Raw genomic sequence first — 19,230 nt, forward strand, 5'->3', positions numbered from 1 at the left:
ACATCAGAATGGTGAAGAGCATTGTGTTAATACAATTCATTGTCTTATTTGTTAAAAAAGTTGAAAAAGTATTGCTGAGAAAAAGGAAACAAGTTAACTTTTGTTAAAGGTATCTCTTGGTTTTCACTGTCCTTTCCCTCATCAGTAGCGCCAAGAACATCTTAAGTCACAGAAACATTAGTTTTTGGAAGCAGGGTTTGCTGTAACTATAGTAGAAATGACATTCTGATTCCACTCCTAGCTTCACAAGGATATCTGTGAAAGATTTGGGGCAAAACTGTTAAGCTGTCTGAAAGTGCTTTTGCATAAGAAATGGGTTTTACTGCTAAAACTGTCATATTGCTGAGTTTTGAATGCCCTAATGGTAAATGATACTGGGTTGCCAAAAATAACCAGATTAGTAGTTTTTTCATTCATTTGGCCGTCTCAGTAAGTCAAATATTGATACTTTCTACTAAGTCATCTTGCCAACACCCATTTTGTTATACTTATGCTGAATCTGTTTGTCATCTCTTAAGTAAGAAAATTATTGATTATTTTGTGGGGATTTAATTTAAAAAAAATGGTAATGGATACTGTAAAGGAGCATTATTTGGATGGTTTAAAAACATCTTCCTTGATGGGAAAATCTTTTAAAAGGCTTTCTAACTTGGTGTAATTACTTGAATTAAGGAAGTGCAATGCCATTCTACTGACTTAGAACAACTTTTTTGACTTCCTGCAAAGAGGACCCTTACAGTATTTTTGGAGAAGTTAGTAAAACCGAATCTGACATCATCACCTAGCAGTTCATGCAGCTAGCAAGTGGTTTGTTCTTAGGGTAACAGAGGAGGAAATTGTTCCTCGTCTGATAAGACAACAGTGGAGAGTATGCATTTATTTATTTACTTTTACATTTTTGATTCGTTTTTACAGAGAAAAACTTCTACAGAGATAACAATTATTTTGCTTTTCAGAAGGACGCATGCTGTTTCTTAGGGACACGGCTGACTTCCAGATATGACCATGTATTTGTGGCTTAAACTCTTGGCATTTGGCTTTGCCTTTCTGGACACAGAAGTATTTGTGACAGGTAAGTACAAGGATATTAATATTTTTTAAATTATTTTTTCTCTTTTGGAGGAATGTTTGAAATAGACATAAAAATAATTTAAATGTGTTGGTAACTGGAAGTGAGAAGCCTGCTGTAAACCATCAAGATTGTTGTCTCAGGGAGACATAGCTAGTTGTGTGACAGAATACATTGTTTCTGTTTACAAAGACATAAATGTTTCGGGACAAAAAATACAATTTTAAAAGGAAAGCAATGTCTATCTGTATCTTTATTTACAACTGTTCAAAGATATTACAAAAGCAACATTATTACTTAACTTCCAAAGTGACAATAACACACATTTATAAAAGCCTGAGAATTTTTTAATGATAAAATAAGTGAGTTTTTATTCTTTTAACAAATTTGATCTTTTAAAAAGTCATAAAACAGCTTTGGTTGTATGTAAGCCACTCCCTCTTTTCAGACCTGAAGTTTGCTTCCTCAAATTTTGAATTTAATTGACATATTTTATTGAATACTTGGGTATATAATAGTTCAAAAATATATTGAGATATTTAGTAAAATATTAACTTTCTGCAATTTTTATCACAGAATGTATTTTAAATCAAGTTTTTAGTTTCTTGTTAATAGTTTTAATACATTTTTGCTTTAGAAATTCTTGTGGAGCCACCGCCCTTCCTGGGTGGTGGGTAAATATTACAGCCTTGATGAGATAGAAATATTTAAACTCTTAAAAATCATGCAAATGCTGTATTCAGTAGGAAAATGCAACTAGTTGGACTTCCAGTGCCTATTAAAGTTTGAAATCTTTGCACATTTATGGTCTATTCAATGGATAGTTCTTGAGCGGCGTCAATATGAATCATGAGTACATTTCAATAGATTATAGAATGTAACTAATAATTAATATTTAATATTTCTCTTTATGATGTAGTATCTAAAAGGACATTGAAAATAAAATTTTTGTAGAAATTCCAAAAAGTATAAAAAGTATTTTAAAACAACTTGCTTATTACAATTCACTTTGAAGTCTTTTTTTGACTTTTACCGTTCTTCTTTCCTCTGAAAGTCAGGGAAGTAGCTACCTCTTGAGCATGTTACATTGACAATTTCTATTTGGAGAGGAAAGAAAGAGGAAAGAAAAACAACATAAGATTTTTGTTGTTGTTGTTGTGGCTGTTTTGCTTTTTATTGCAAAGGTGAATTTTTTAAAAATCTATATATTTGCAGCATTTGTCTTAGTACAGAAAATGTTTATCAAGTTACCATCCCTTTAAAGCTTATGATAATAAAAAGTAAATTATAAAGAATAATAATCTCAATGAAGTGATATATGTATATTATCACAAATCAGAACAGATTTTCATTTAAAATTCCCACTCAGGAAATGTCGAAAAGCATTTTTAAATGAGCATAAAGAAATACTGAGACATTTTGTAAGCCAGAATATTTTTCTTCTCTTCATATTCATTTAACTTCTATTATTTTCTTCAGGTCTAGCTCCATTGCTTTTTATTCCAGGCAAACTTCCCAACCTCCTGAATAGACCAAATATCCTATTATATGCTTAAATCAGAGTGTGAAATATTTCCTTTGTGAATAAAAATTCAACTCATTCTATTACAGGATGTTTTTTTAACCATAAGACACATCTTTGAATTTATAATTGAAATAATATGATGGGGTCTAGAAACCTTTATATCAACTTTGCTGAATGATTTATACCATAGCAAATAAATGGATATACATAAATTTATTTTGAAAACTCAACTTTATCTTCAGTTGCTCACATAAATATTGAGAGCAAACATTTTTCTAAAAGACATTTGTAGACTCCCTGAGATATATGCTTATTTGTGGAAAAACATATACAGATATAATCATTTGTATCTGCAAATATTGTTTATAATCCTTTCAAGTTGCAAGAAACATTTTGTGATTTAATGTATAATTTGGAAAATTCTTAATGCTTTAAATTATTTATTTTTCTTTTTTAGCAACAAATGAGTTGGATTCTATGTTTCATTTTAACGTGTTAAAATTAGTTTAGTGCCTACAGGAAATAATAAACTTTTGGGGAACAAAATTTATATTGTATGCTGTAAAGGCATAAAGAAATAGAGCCAAATGTAGAGAGCCATCAATGGTAACTCTATGCATAATTCAAATATTTTATTTAATATCTAAAATGCACACACGGACAAGGCCAAAGTTAATCTTTGCCACGGCAACAACCAGGCAGGGTTCAGTTTTACTCAAGACTTCCTAATCCTCTTGCTCTGTGCCTCTTTGCCATGGCAACTGGAAGCCAAACTTTGTTTAGAATTTCTAAATAATGTTAGGGGACAATGATGGTTTTAAGAAGGCAGGTGAAGGTGAGTGTTCTCTGGTTCTAATAAAGTTGTAATGCCAGGCAGATCTACCACACTATAGCATGGCAGTTAGGAGTATATGAGTTATGGTATGTGAGGTATATGATGAGTTTTGTTATGAGTCATAACAGTTAAGACTCATTTCCTGGACATAATTCTTCATTTTTCCATCTGTATTAAAAATATATATCTCATGTTATAAACATGGACTGTGCCTTGCACATCACAGACATTCAATGAAAATTATTTAATTGAATTTGGTAAGCAGTCCTATTAAGTTCTAAATACTCCATAATTTAGAGATTTGGGAATGTGATTAGAATTACTTATTAATTTGAAAAAAAATGTCCTACTAAAAACCTGCCTGTGACCTTTATCATTGCTAAAGTTTGAAATGTACTTTGTTACAGGAAAGACTACGGCTAGGGCCTATATTATCTTTTTCTCTTTTGTTCTGTGTAAGTAAGTATAGGGGCAGAGTAGTTAGCTTGAACTTAGTTCTTTCTTTGTTCTGGACTATTTGCTATCCTCTCACCAGTGACAATTAACCAGTATAGAAATATAGATGTTTCTACATTGTTCATATACTTGAACATATATTTCTTTATGTAGATACTCACACATAAACTAGTTATATATTTGTGGGTTATATATACTAGTCAATCTATCTATCTGTCTATCTATCTATCTATCTATCTATCTATCAGTTCTCCATGTTTGTCTATTTGGCGTTCCCATGAACTTCAGACCTTCGCCTGTGTTCTCTTTTCTCCATTTGGTTACGTATCATTGCCTACTATGTGTTGATCACTCTGATTCTCCATCTCTAGACTCATCCCTCAGAAACACGGAACTTACTACCTTTCCTAAATCCAGACATTAACATGCTCCCCAAGTCCTGAAATTTTGCTTTGTAATAATCTCTAATAACTTCTTGCTTTGACACCTCCATTGCCATCATCTTAATTCATGGCTTTATTATTTCTCACCTGTAAAATTGTAATAGTTTTTTTAATCAGTCTGAAGTCTCATCCTTTTTTTAATGTAATCTACAGCTTAAAAAGTAAAATAAAAAGTGAAGGGTTACTGATTTCTTCTCATTGCCTTTGGTATAAATTCTAATCTTTTTTGCCAGAGAAACTGGTTCCACTAATGATCTGGGGGCTAGGCCTGGAGCTGGGAAGGGATCTTTTTTCTTTTCTTTCTTTCTTCCTTTCTTTCTTTCTTTCTTTCTTTCTTTCTTTCTTTCTTTCTTTCTTTCTTTCTTTCTTTCTTTTTTCTTTCTTTTTCTTCTATGATTGATTAAAAGAAAACAAACAGGAGGTAGTTTTAACACCCACCTCTATACTTTCTCAAGGTGTTTAAGGTTCTGGGCAAATCCTACTTCTTCTATTATGTTCTCTTATGTCACTTTTGCCACAAAATATTTCCATTGAATTGCACACTTTTTATCACCTTTTCTTGGCATTTTTCAAGTCATTTCAATCTGCTCTTTTTTGTGATGATGATTGATGATGATGATGACATGTGAATTAGTGGATTTCTTGACATTGTAACCTACATGAAATCAGGTATAGGAGACACAAAAGGCATAAACTCATAGTTCCCATACCTAATTTTTCACCAGACACTGAATAAATCATAGATTAAAAAAATAAAACTGCATATTGTAGTGACAAAGGAAAGGAAAATTTTCAAAGAGGGAAGTCAAAAAGAGGGAGAATATGAGATAAAAAAATTAACCAGAGGCGAAGTGGGAGGATGAAGACAGCAGGACTATTTTGTCCAGATTAAATTAAGTTGATTTTGGATCTAGATGTTTACAGTCTTGCCTTTTTGTTTTTGTTTGTTTGTTTGTTTGTTTTTTCTTTGCTCCCTTTCTTACTCTCCTTATCTCACCTCTCGTCTGGAAAGAGCCTCCTGACTTCCTAAAAGTTCATAGTTTGAGAATGTTTTTCCTAAATTTTCTTTGATCTGCTCTTTGGACATTCTAGGTAATGTAATTTGGAGGGTCAATTTTATTTTTCAGATACACATACCCATAGGAGAAAAAGCAAGGAATGGGAGGGAAATACAAATGTAGCGGAGTGATAACACAAACAGATCAGGTCCAGTCATGGCAATTGCTGGTTTGAACACTGATGCTAGTGCTCTGGGATTGCTTGCAAGGGCAGATGGAATATGGTGCACCCTAGGTGTTGCATTATTTGCACGACAAAAGTTTGTAGAGAGCTGGGAATAATTTCTTTACAGACAGTGTGGTGATGAATGTCAATCTGAGTAGGTAAGGGGCAGAGATTTGTACTGAGGTTGATTCATTCTCTTGGTAAATACACAATGTTCACAAAGGCAAGGTTTCATCTTCAGACCATGTGTGTATATGTCACCTTGGTGCAGAGAGAGAAATTTTTCATCAGTGCTGACCTTTGATTTTTTTTTCTAGACATCTTATAGATTTATGTAGTTATTTACATGGGAAACAATTAGAATGGAAATTTAACATATCTTCAGTTTAAAATTAATTTCTGTCTAGTCTAAATATCTTTGTAAGTACTAGATACTCAATCCCATAGCAGTGGCCTTTTACCAAAGGCTTAGTGCTATGACTTTTGCATACATAAAGACCTCACTTTTTAAGATATGATACACCAGAAAAAAAATATGGCAAGACTTTAGCAATATGATTTGATGCCTATTTCTATATAATACCCAAATATACAGGAATAAAAATTATGGCAATCACTGGATTTTGTGTACCTGGCTCTAACCAATATTTATATTAGAAAATATCTAATTATTGTCTAAAATATTTAATCTTCATTCCTGTTTGTATGTCAGTGTGCTACTTCAATATCAGTCTGTTAAAAGAGTCTAGGAATGACTACTATAAGCAGAGAATTATATGTTCAGGAATCACAACAAAAAACAAGAACAAATAGAGAAACAAAAGCTTTCCTACTCTTTCATCTAGGACAAGAATAAATACACATAAAGTCAATATTAGTGAAGTAAACAAGCATCTTCTATATCCATTCATAGTACCTTCAATTGATTGATTTCTTAACAGACAATCAGCAAAATTATCAGTTTTTATTAGAGATTTTAGTAGAGACCGAGCTTAAACAAATATATTCTATGGTGCTTAACTCTATAGTATTTAAAGATTCAATATTTATTTCCTCTAAAAATGAGTCAAGTGTCTGAAAGGAAAAAGCCACCTAACTGAAACTTCAGTTTCTACTATACAGGGTATTTATTATAAAACTGTAATTACAATGCAATTATATTGAAGTATAAATGATCATCATTCATTTATTTAAGAATATAATCAAAATTTGCATACCTGGAAGAAAACCATCCACCCTCCAAAATAGGGATTTGCTAATGTAGGAGTAGAAGGCAAAAGTTGAGGGTAACTCAGGTAACACACTCATACGTATTAGGATATGAACAGCTGGTATAGCAAACTTGATAGAAATCACTGATAGACAAGAAGACATTCTCTGCATTTTAAATTAAAGTACAATTTGTCTGTGGTCATTCAAGAGATAGTTTAGAGAAACCTATACAAATAACAATGATGCTAAGAGACAATATCAAAATCACAATAAATATCATGGCAATACAGTGTGGCCACTATATTTTAAACACATCCACTTGATGAAAAATATAATAATTTACTGATAAAACATATTAAGCATAATAGAAAATGAGGCAGAAACCACTCCAAGCTGGGAAACATCATGACATCTGTAGTGATAAATATTTTGAAAATCTAACTCTATGAATCTTGTGATTTTTAGCTAAATCAATTTTCACCCTTGAGACCCAATTTCCTCATCTATAAAGTGTTGTAAGCATTAAAAGTTATAATATTTGTGAAAATGCTTTGAAATTATGTGATACTCTGAGAAGTAAATTTTTTCATGTGAGCCCATGAAATCAGAGCACATAGCCTTTTAGCATAAACTTGATTCCAAATGATATCTCTTCCTTTCAGACACTGTGAGCAGATAAAGGGATAGTTTAAGGTTAAGTGATAGAGGCATAATCCCTTATAGGCCTTTGAATTCTTTTAACTTTGCATTCTTTATTTCAGAGATTTTTCAGGCTTCTCCAGATTCTACAGTCTAAATAGTTTGTAAATCCACACACTTCTACTTTGCCAGGGATTTCTTAGTGTAAAAATATCCTGAAGTCTCACCTGCCTTCAATCCTTACTGTGTCCATACCCACCATTACCAGGATAATCTTTGTAAAAGGCAGAACTTACCTTTGTCCATTCCTCTTTTAAAAGCTCCTATTGGTAGAAAATATACTGAACCCGTGATTTGATACCAAGTATGTTTTGGCTCAACTTTTATGAAAACAAATATTTAATTAGAATATACCAACATTTATGAGTTTTCCTTAAAGATAAATTTTGGAGGAAAAAAACTCCATTAGACCAATTTAATTCCCTGATGATTATATATATATTACCTAGTGAAATCCTTGGCAGTTTTTCCATTTTAATTTTAATTTTACTGAACTAATGTTTAGCAGCATCACTTTCATTTAATTTTTACAATAACTATTAGATTCATGAATCCATTTTACCCATGTCAAGTTCTACTGAATATAGCTTATGCTTGGAATTTTCCTTTGTGATTATTACTTTTCTAAAGGTAATTCTTCTTTTCAAACAATACAGATCTAAATTTTCCAAAACCATTTAAATTCTTCTCTTTGGCCAGAAACATTTTCTGTGTGTAGTTTTGGCTACCGCTAGTTTAGTTTTTTTAATTGGTTTTGTGTCTCAATGCTACAAAAAATATAATTTATGTAATTTTTCATTTTTGTCAAACTTAAATCGGGCAATATTAACCATTCTCAATTTTTTGTTGTGTTGAAATTTCTATCAGTGACATTAATGTGGAGATTGACAGCTCTTTGAGCTAGATTCATTTTGAAATTTTAAGACTTTCGATTATTTCTTATCTAGCCAATAGAAACTTTAGAAACACTTTTAAGACTGCTTGATAGCCTGGAATTATTATGTTTGAATTCTCATTCATTTGTATGGTATTCCTCTTATTAGCTTTCACACTTAGTACCAATTTCTTATTCATTATTGGAGCAAAAAGTAAAGAGAAGAATCAAGGTGATAAGTTTAAAATCTTCTCAATGTAAAATAGTGTGTGGGGAAAGTGTCAAATCATCCTACTTTGGTCTTTGTGCATTTAGGAAAAATAAAAGCAATTAGCATTGCACACACATATGTAATTGAATCTCTTCAGATTTGTCTGGCTTTATCTCTAACCACTTTGTGACTCTTTTTGTAACTTGCATTTTTCTAAAAATGTGACCTTGTTTGGTCTTCCTACTGTTGGCCATGCTGTTTTTCCTTCTCTCCACATCTTTTTATCAATGGTGCAAATTATAAATTGTATTCAAATTTACTGTAAAGATCATGTCCTCTAGACAGCCCCTATCCCACTTGTATAACCCTTGCTCTTCAGCCCCTTTCACACCTGCATAGGTATTCTTCTGCTGTGATGATCCTTTGAATAATTCTCTTGGAGTTCTCTTTACCAGGCTCTCTTGCAGCAACTGGTGAGCTCATGTAGGCTATCACTGGGTCTCTGCTTATTTGCCAGTGCCTGCAGGTCCTCAGTACCTGTTTGCTGAACAAACGAATGGTCTGTCAGCTTAACCCAACTCTGTATGTAGAAGGCACTTAATAATTCTTAAAAACAATTTTGATTCTGTCCTTTTATTGTTATTTATGGGAATTATTTATGGTAAAAATTTCTACATAATAGAAAATTTGGAAAATGTCAAGAAATAGAAGGAAAAAGAAATTGCTTAGAGCCCATGCTAACATTTTGTTTTTCTTCCTCTATCTTTTGATCACATGCTGTGTATGAAATTTCATGTTCAATTTTTTCCCAAGTAAACCTTGATTATTCTAGACAATTTGAAAAATATAGAAATGAATAGAAAAATAAGAATTTCAGGTTTCCAGTTCTCAGGATCTAAAAACTTTTTGAGTATTTCATTTGACTAGGACAACTAGATCTATTCAGTTATTTATTAACTTATTAGTTCATTTGATAAACAACTATTTTGTGAGTGTTTTCCATGTAATTTGGGCTGAGGACACCTATCCCATGAAGCCCGTATTTTCTATCAGTGGCTTCTTGGAGATGGTGTTTTAAATCTTCCAAAATCTTCATCAGCACCCCAAAACTTCCTCCTCAAAGTAACAACATACCTTGCTACAGATAATTATTGGTGTTATCAATGTTTTATAAATTATAAATTTAAAAATCACTATCTTAAGATCTATATATAACATATTAAGTAAAACTTATATTCTTACAAGACTTCCTCCAGGTCCCTGTTACAACCAGATTTTCTTTGCAGACTTTTAAATTATGGAAGTTCTGGTGCTGCCACTGAGTTGTGTAGATTATTATTAGATATTCAATAAATAAAGTTGGTAGATGTGAAGAGGTACTAGACAATAGTCCTATTTTGTTTTGGTTTGTTTGTTTTGTAATTTATTCTGAAAAAATGTTTATGTGGAGAGAAAAGGGAAAACATACAGAAATACACAGCACACAAACAAATTCTTACTTTTTTTTGGTAGTCTTTCTAATTTTCCAAGGTCACCAGCTAATAGCAAATGAGAGTTGTAGGGGGTGGGGTGAAGGCTGGGGTCTTAATCGGGGTCTATCTGATTCTAGATAGACCAGATTCTAGATTTTCCACTCGGTTACTCAATCTTCTTAGTGGTCAGTTTAATAACCTGGAATTTAAGACATGACTGTGTGATGATGGGCAAATCACAGCAGGACTGAATGGGAGCTGGTAATTTCTCAGAGGTTGTTTGTGTGACATATGCATGTAAGTTCATTCACCTGATTTAGCTACTTACATGAACCATTGTGCACTGAGCTGCTTCTATATCTTTAGCATATTCTGTATCTATGTAAAATTCACATAAGATTGTATGACTTTTATAAAAAACAAAAAGACATCTTTGATTAATTTGTCTTCACTATGAATACTGATGTGATGTGTTACAATCATCCTGAAAAGGAGGCTAACAAAGGACAGGACTGAGTCTGTCTTGAGGTGAGTGATATGATGGAAAGAATGGATTTTCCCCCACCCAACTCATTTTTGATATTACATAAAGTGAAAAACATTAAATAATTCACCAAAGTATCTAGATTTTTTTTTGTTTTTGAAGTGCAAGGGAAGTAACTTGACCTTTGTTAAACACTTTGATCATGGAAAACACATAAGGTTCTCATCTTATTCCAGGAAGTGTAGACACTAGATAATCTTTTCATAGTCATCCAAAAAGCATATTAAGTGAACCAGGTAAATCCATCCTACACTTTTTATTCCAGAGACAAGTTGGCTAAACTTTGAGGAGACTAAAACAAAACAAAAAAAAATTATTGTTTGGTTCATTTGATAAATGTGGATTCCAATCATATAATTTAGGCCAAATATTATACTTTGACTTCTTAGACTTAGATTTCCAGATAGTCTGGTTTATAAAATAAGATTTTAACTATGCTTACTAAACTCTATGTATTTCTACTTTCCAATGACCCATGTTCTTATTTTCTGAATTTACTTATTGATGCTTTAGGTATGATAAAGGTATGTAATGGCTAAGGAAACATAAATGAAGCATAAGACATCAGTTGAGAGTTTTGACGGAAAGGAAGTGGTGATATGAAGGAAACAGATAAACCAAAGAAAAAGGAAAAGGTCAGGGAGCTGATAAAAGTAACTTGAAGAAACTTTAGTGCAAATGTTGGATTCAGACAATCGCTACTTTTAAAGTACTTAAAGAAGTCAGTCTTTGAAATCTTGCCCGGATTCCATTCCAGTTTCATCATTGGAGACTTCCAATGATGAAAAATTGGGGAAGAATTACCTTCCAAAGCCTCAGTTTCCTCGTGTGTAAAATGGAAATAATAGCAAGAGATATTAAATGAGATGATTCACTCATCGATTCATCAATTGTTTATAGAGCCCCTGCTAAGCTAAAAACTGTTTTAAGTGTTGACACAGTGGTAAAGAAAGCAGAAAGTGTAACTACTTTTATGAAACTGACTTCCTAGTGGTGAGAGATAACAAGAAAACAAACAACAAATTGAGATAACTTCAGTTATAGATAAATGCTGTGAAGAAAATTAAGTAGTGTAATATGGTAGAGTTTAATCTGGCCAGACCCAGATTTAGGGGTGAATGCACTTTTAGACAGAGTGATCGGGGAAGATCCTTATGAAGAAGAATCATTGAGCTACCTGTTGGCTGACAAGAATATGGGGATCCATGTGAGGGAGACTGGCAAGAGTAAAGGTTATCTGGCAAAACCAAACAAATTGGTAGGTTCGAGGCACAGAAAGGTCAGGCATCTGTAGTATGGTGAGTAAGAACTGAGCAGGTTGTGGTGAGGCTAGAAAGATAAGCAGAAGGCAGGTCCCACAGGGCCTTGATGGAAATGGAAAGAGCTTGAATTTTACCTGAAGTATAAAGGGAAGGAACCATTTTAAGTTCTTAAGTACAGAATAACCTAATCTTCTTTCTGTGTTGAAGAGATCACTTTGACTGTTATGAAGAGAATAGATTGGAAGTAAGGCAAAGCCTGGAAGCAGTTATGAGGAGACTGAATGGGAGGATGGAGAAAGGGGATGGTGATCTGGACCAAGTGTTGGCAGTGCAGGTGGAAAGAAAGGAAAGACTGACATAGAATTAAGAGAAGTGGCTGCATGGAAAAGACAAAGACATTTTAGAGAATGACTTTTTTTCCCCATGAGCACTGGGATGGGAAAGAGCCAAATTAGGGGGTCAGAAATCCAGAGTTATGTTTGGGCTGTTATTGATGTCTGATTTTCATTAGGTGGTAGAGAGGTCAAGAAATCCGTTGGAGATAAGAGGCTGAGGCCCATTCAGTAGGTCTCAACTGGAGACATAAACATAGGAGTCATTGCATTCAGATGGAGCTTAAAGCTAAGGGACTGCATGTGACAGTGTAAATAAACATGTAGAGAGTAGCAGATGACTGGTTTCTGAGCCTTGGGAAACTTCATATTTGGAAGAGACACAAGGAGGAGCTAGGAAAAGATAGTGAGAAGAGGTAGCCAGTGAAAAAAAGTAGAACTATACTTTGCTTTGAATGTTGAAAAGGGTTGGCATTATAGTGAGAATTCAGTAAATTCCACATAAAAATCTGAATTTATGTCTCCCCTAGAAAGGTTGGTTGTGAACATGCAATTGGTAAATATCTCTATTAACTTTAATATTGTTACAAAAGTAATATTAAGGAATTTATAATATTTGGAAGAATTAGATGTCTTTACCTAATATATCCCTTGCTAGCTTAACAATTAGAAAAAGAAAGAGGTACATCTTAACATAATTTGTTTTAATAAAAACTACAGAATATATTGAGAGACTAAAGAATTAGAAATTTAACTGAAAATTTCATGCAAAGGTAATGCTCTGTTGAACCATTTTGTAGCTTATGTTTTGTTTTGATACATATTTTAAAATATTGTTTAAGACAATACTTGAACAGATTGGGATTGTGTGTGTGTGTGTGTGTGTGTGTGTGTGTATTGGTTAAATAACTGGTTTATTTTTAAACTGAAATTAAACCTTCCATTTCTTTGAGAAATTTAAAAAGTAGTTGTTATCAATGTGGCAGATATTAGGTAGAATCTAATATCGTGAAAATTAAACTGCACATAAATAGATATAAATCCTTTTGTCAGTGTGTGTATATCTCTGTGTGTAATTTTGATCTCAGGCTTGGCAGGTTTCCTTAAAACTTTTTTTTAGAGCTACTTAATTTTGTACTTACTGGTGGTTAGCTAATAAGAAAAAGCTAATAAAAAATAGTGCTTACTCTGTGCCAGGCACTTCTGTTAACATTTTATAAATGTTATCTCATTTAACAAGCTCATGTCATTGTATAGTCTAGCTTATACTTGTCTTTAACATAAGCAAATTTGTTAATTTGTGTTTCCTGATATTATCATAAAATTTACTGGTTGTCATATCCTAAAAGGGAATAGTTCAATTTAATTTTCCTTGTTCTAATTTTAAATACAGTACTAAGGTTGAGAAAGAAGGGGTCAGGAAAGGGAAGTAACATTGAGTGTCTCGTGTGCCTGGCACTCCATATGATGCTTCAATGCACACCAGGCTATTCAGCCTCAGATTTGTTTCTACATTGCTTCTAGTTCTACAGATTATTCAACGAATGTACAATCCTTGGTCACTAGTCTTAATAGGGAAAACAGAATTATGGTTAAAACAAAAGAGTAAGTAACTTAAATATGATCTATCGGTATTTATTTTGTATTATGATATTTTGCTTAAGTTGAAAAAAGGGCGCATCAGGTGTTTTGGCAGTTTACTGTGATCTCAATAGTGAGAATGTATTGAAAAATCTCAGTACAGGAGAAAGCTGTGCAGCTTTCTCTTCCTGTCGCTGCTTAATTTTCATGTAGATATAAAGCCGCAGTTTAAGCACATCTGCTTAATCCTTATTTAAAAGACTAGGAGAGAACTAGAAAGGGAGGGAGGGAGAGGAGGGGAAGGGGGAAGAGATTGAGAGAAATCTCTCCCATATAACACAAACACTGTATTAGTGTGTGAGAAGCAGATAATCGTGCATGTAGGCACTATCATTTGTGAAATCAGAAAGCATAATTTACTCCCAATGCTGAATAATCTAGTTGTGTGTAAGCACCAGAGAGATATTTAAATACCTATCCAATAAAAGATAATAAAAGCCTAGCAAACCTAAGTAATCCATTTTCAGATGTTAATCCAATTACGTAAACAAATATTACCCTTTTTTTTTTTTGGTCATTGTTTCAAGGATAAAGTGTAAATGAAAGAAATAGCATTCCATCTAGGTAAAAGAGGAATCAGCATCATTGAAATGTGAATAGCTGTGATTCCTCCTTGCTGAATGGTAACTTTAGAAGAGAGGGAACCCAGGAGTCCATCCAGAGGCTCAAGGAATAAGAGGTTCTCACCCATAGGAAGATGAAAAATACTTTCAGGGTGACCCATGAGGGAAAATCACCAAAGCCTTTGAAATAAAAGATTTTCCCTTTTCTAAGAATAAAAGATGGTGTTATGTCAAGGGCGGCTCGATGGTGTGGATGAAAGAACTATTGGGAATGGCTACTGAAAGATCAAAGGCAAGTGGAACCTCAAAATTCTGGAAGTAGAACGAGTCAGATACAATATAAGAAGTACTTCAAAGGCAAGAAAATAAGAATAATAAAAATACCTTTAGTTGTCAAATGTAAAATTTGTGCCAGTTTTGTCACATTCCATTTTTCAGGAACACTGTAAAGGTATTTTCTATTAATATCAATTTAACTGTACATATCTTCCCATCTATCTTAATTAGTCACTTTTCAAGAACAAATGTGTTATGCTCAAAGCATCCAAAGGACTTTTTTGTTAGCCTTAATAAAATGCTTTCTCTTAAACTAAATTTTAATTTAGTTTACATGTCTACGTATAAGGTGGTTATAGAAAATGAATGTAAAATCACTTCATTAAGTGTAACAAAACAAAATAATATGAGGAATTGTTATACTGTTTAAGCATTTGAAAAACGATAAAGGAGTATAGAAATTTTGTTACCACTACTATGATTAGTTTCTCATTTGGTTTTTCACTTTAAGAATTGGAATAAAAGTTGAAATCTTGATTAAAAAAACAAGAAATGATTCACAAATTATTTTACAAATTGAAATACTGAAATACAGAATGTTCAACCACTGTCAACATGAACTCCTATTCTGTAATTAATCTATTCTATAAACATCTGTATTTGCTAAAGAGCAACAGATCAAGGAAAAGAAAAAATAATCCTTGCCATCCATAGAGCCATGATTTTTGTGGAATCTTCGCTCCAGTTTAAGTTTTGTCAGTGTCTGGAAGAAAATACTTCCCATGGATCATCTTTTTGCTAAAGAGTATTCTTTACATTTTAAAACATATGAATATTTACATAAAGGTGTTTGTGGAAAAGGAAATTATGTGCCTTTTATTTTAATTCACCCATTATTCTATTCCACATGTAAAGTAGAAAATACTACTTTAAGACAAAAGTAAAGCATTATTTATTTAAAGATCTATTTTGTCCATGAATTTTATCAGAGGTAACGCTTCTTAATGTTATTCAGTGCCATAACTTGCCTTTTTTCTAGGCCTCCATTTTATGAACTGAACATCTGGATTTGATGGCAAGAAAACATTTCCTTCCGCTGGCTTTTCTAATAACTCCCTCTTACAGATATGCATGCCTCATGTTTGTTAATAAAATTGACGTGATTTTAATATCTGGTATTTTAACACACTGTGAATTATGGAATTTTCAGTGGCTTTATTTAATTAAATGCATTTTAAAATCCTTACAAAAAAATATTAAGAGTAACTCTAAAATGTATTAGAGCCACAGATGTTTTCCTTTATAGTGTTAATTGATTTAAGGTCCATCAAAATGCTGTTAAAATGTCTAGAGGTTAACAATAACAGTGGCACATGGGTCAGATTAAAATTCTTTTTGAGTAAAATAAATAAATAAATGACAGCTTATTTTCTTCTGATTTAAAAAAATTAGCTAGTGGATTGAAACAACAATGTGATAGCTAAGATTTCATTCTCTCACTTTATAATGAAAGGAGATTTAAAATTAGGGATTATATGGTACACGAAAAATTTATATACACAGATTACAAGTACTAGTTTTTTTAGTGAAGAAAAGACAACTATATATTTTCTCTTTTTATCTGTTGTCCTATTTTACAATTGTAGCAATTAATCTGCCAAACTCTTTAATCAATAAAATATGGTATTTAACAACCAAATTTGGCCCCTCCCTCCCCTTAAATATATTTCCAATGCTCCTTGCTCCATTTTAAACCTGCTGTCCTTTATAAGAGAATAATATATTTTGTAATTTGAGAAAATCATGCAAAGGAAAGTTTCTCAAAATTCACATTAATATGTAATAATAGTAATAAATATGTATAACCATAATATCTTAGAATTTTACAATATTTTATAGAAAACATGAATATTAAAGTGAAAATTTAAACACATCAATTTTTCATGTTAAAATTACTAAGAATGAACTACAGATTCATGAATACTAAGGGCAACTTTTATCTCAGGAAATATATCAGTGGACTGAAAATGTCAAATCAATTCAATTAAATCAGTAATAACACTTTGCTGTTTATGTGGCTGTTTTTTCTTCTATTTTTATTGTCTTAGATTGCATGGATACAATCAAAATAAGTTAATTTGTATACAGGATATAAATGGACCAGAGAATGTGTCTTCTATTAAATAATAACAAATAAGAATACCTTTTATTTTGTGATGGTCTTTACTATTTACTGAGAGACAAGTATTGTTCAAGTTGCCGGTTTTTTTTAATTAGCTGACATATTTCCTGCTTTTATTTGAGTTAGAATTCCTGTACCAAACATTTTAAAAAGAGAAAAAAAATTAAAGAAAGAGAAAAGGAATTTGGAAACTACTATAATGTAAAGTAGCATTATTTATACAACAATTAATTTTAGAGAAGCAAGAGACCTTAGAAATAATCTATTTCAACGCATCTATTTTACAAAAAAGAAAATTGAAACTCATAGATATTTAGTGACTTGTCCTTTGTTACACCAAAAATGAGGGAACTTGGTCTAGAATTCCTCCAGCATATTATGAGGTATTTGTTCTGTGGCCTGATACAATGAAATGAATGTTGGATTAGGCATTTTGGGACAAGTTTTGAATCCTAACTCTATTACTAATTCCTCTTCACTAGACTGAGATTCTGGTATGTGGTATTCAATAAGTGACTTGACTTCTTTAAGCCTGGTTTCTTTTTCAGTGAGATTTACAGCTTAGACTAGTTTCTGAATCTTGACCCTGTGGACAATCTAGTTGGAGAACTGAGATGACCTGGGCATTGTAGGATGTTTAGCAACATTCCTGCCTCTGTAAACTAGACACAGCAGCACATTTACCCAACCTGCTCTGACTGTGACAACCAGAAATGTCTCCAGGCATTGCCAAATGTCAACTGAGGGCAAAATTGCCTACCCTAGCCACCTTAACTGAAAACTACAAACTTCATTGAAATAATTTCTTTATGGCTCCCAGCAGTAACACTGTGCTATTCTAGACCAGTTGGTTAAACTACTGGATGCTTCATCAGAAAGCACCCACTAAGCATCACTCACCATGAAGTTCGTTGGGTACTCTATACAATGAACAAAGGAGATATCACATAATTTTTAAAAAACTTAAAAGATTCACAGGTGAGAATTTTGTAGTAACAATTAAGTATTAACTATTAGAAAAATTTAAGAAGTTTTAACAAAATGATATAAAAATATATTCACTATAAGTAGGATGTAATTTTTGTCCTGTAAGAGTTATCCATGTATTTACGAATTGTACCTACCAGAGGTTACAAAAATTTGGTCATTATTTGAAAGATTAACAGGGACTTATTTCCAATCATAGATGTTCACTATACTATTCTAAGACATTTGCAACTGTGTAAGGCAGTCATTTCCAGTAAGAATTGCTAGAACAAACATTAAGCATTTCACAGTGAAAAGGGTCATAGGTATATTTTCATCCTTTGCATATAGAAGAAATAGCAATCTATTATTCTCAGTTTTTGACTTAAAAGGTATTGTTGCTTCCCTTTCTTTCCCTCCCCTACTCAAGTTTTTGCCCATGGATCCAGATACCTACAAGGGCCTAATACAGGGAAAGTGCACTGTGTATGAGCTATGAAGGCACAATGGAAGCTTGCCTGGCAATCAGTGCCAGAACAGACAGCTAGTCTGATGAATTCTGCTACACATCACAGGGCTACTAGTTTTTTGTTTTTTGTTTTTTTTTTTTTTGTCATACATTACTGCAAGTTCCCTGAGGAAGTTTACTGATCTGTAGTTTTACGAGAAATGCACGTCATGGAGGTGGCGTGGGGGAGCGGGTGAACAAGGAAACTTTAGTTGCTATAAAACAGGAGCTGAGAGCTCAAGCAGGTTGGTTATGTTCTGCCAGATGGAGATAAAACTGTGGCAGCCACATCCTGTGACTAGAAATTGTTTAAGTAGGCAGACCTGTTGGAGGACTAAAGAACATTAGGCAAGGAGATTAAATTAGTGTAGGAAAAAAAATCAGTTTTGTTTAAAACGAAATATCTACTTGTGTTAATAGAACATTCTAACTCCACCATAGGATGGAATCAAGAGGTTTTTTTTTTAATACATATAGTGTATATATATAAATATATATATACACACACACACACTGTATGTATTCCTATGTAGATTAAATATTTTGATTTACCTCTTTCTAGTAAAGCAAAGTTCATTCTGAAATCCAAAATATTCACTTACTAGAGCAGAAAAAAATTAGCTGTGCATTTATGCTGATCACAGTGTAGATAATTAATCTTTAAGAAAGTAGGTTTTTATGTTTATAGTTGATAAAGTGTTAGTGGCAAGAACTTTTTCTGTTATTGAATATTATCATCAGATTACTCGTGCTTTCCATTTTATTCCTTTAAAAAAATCCAACTTTTGTAAGCCACCACTATTTTCTGAAGATTTTATTTCTCTCTAAGCTAAGAAAGGATGTCAAGAATAAACCATTTTCTCCTTTTAAATAAAAATGCATTCACTATAGATATTCATTTGAAATCTCAAACATACCTGAATTAAGTATACTCAG

At 32.5% G+C, this 19,230-nt stretch overlaps 1 protein-coding gene across 11 annotated transcripts in view; it reads left to right on the plus strand.

Moving 5' to 3' along the window:
* Positions 444 to 19,230, plus strand: part of PTPRC (protein tyrosine phosphatase receptor type C) — a 118,764-nt gene continuing 99,977 nt past the window's right edge. For 7 of the 11 annotated variants that reach the window (NR_052021.2, NM_002838.5, XM_006711472.5 and 4 more), the window contains exons 1-2: positions 771 to 868; positions 957 to 1,072. Coding sequence is in view for 10 of the 11 variants with exons in the window: in NM_002838.5 (NP_002829.3) it covers positions 1,000 to 1,072 (73 nt within the window). In the remaining variant the exon portion in view is untranslated. Of the gene's footprint in view, positions 518 to 770; positions 869 to 956; positions 1,073 to 19,230 lie in introns of those variants that run through there. The other 4 variants (XM_047426381.1, XM_047426398.1, XM_047426409.1 and 1 more) reach the window with 1 other exon arrangement.

Source organism: Homo sapiens, chromosome 1 (genome assembly GCF_000001405.40).
Source record: "Homo sapiens chromosome 1, GRCh38.p14 Primary Assembly".
Lineage (NCBI taxonomy): Eukaryota > Metazoa > Chordata > Mammalia > Primates > Hominidae > Homo > Homo sapiens.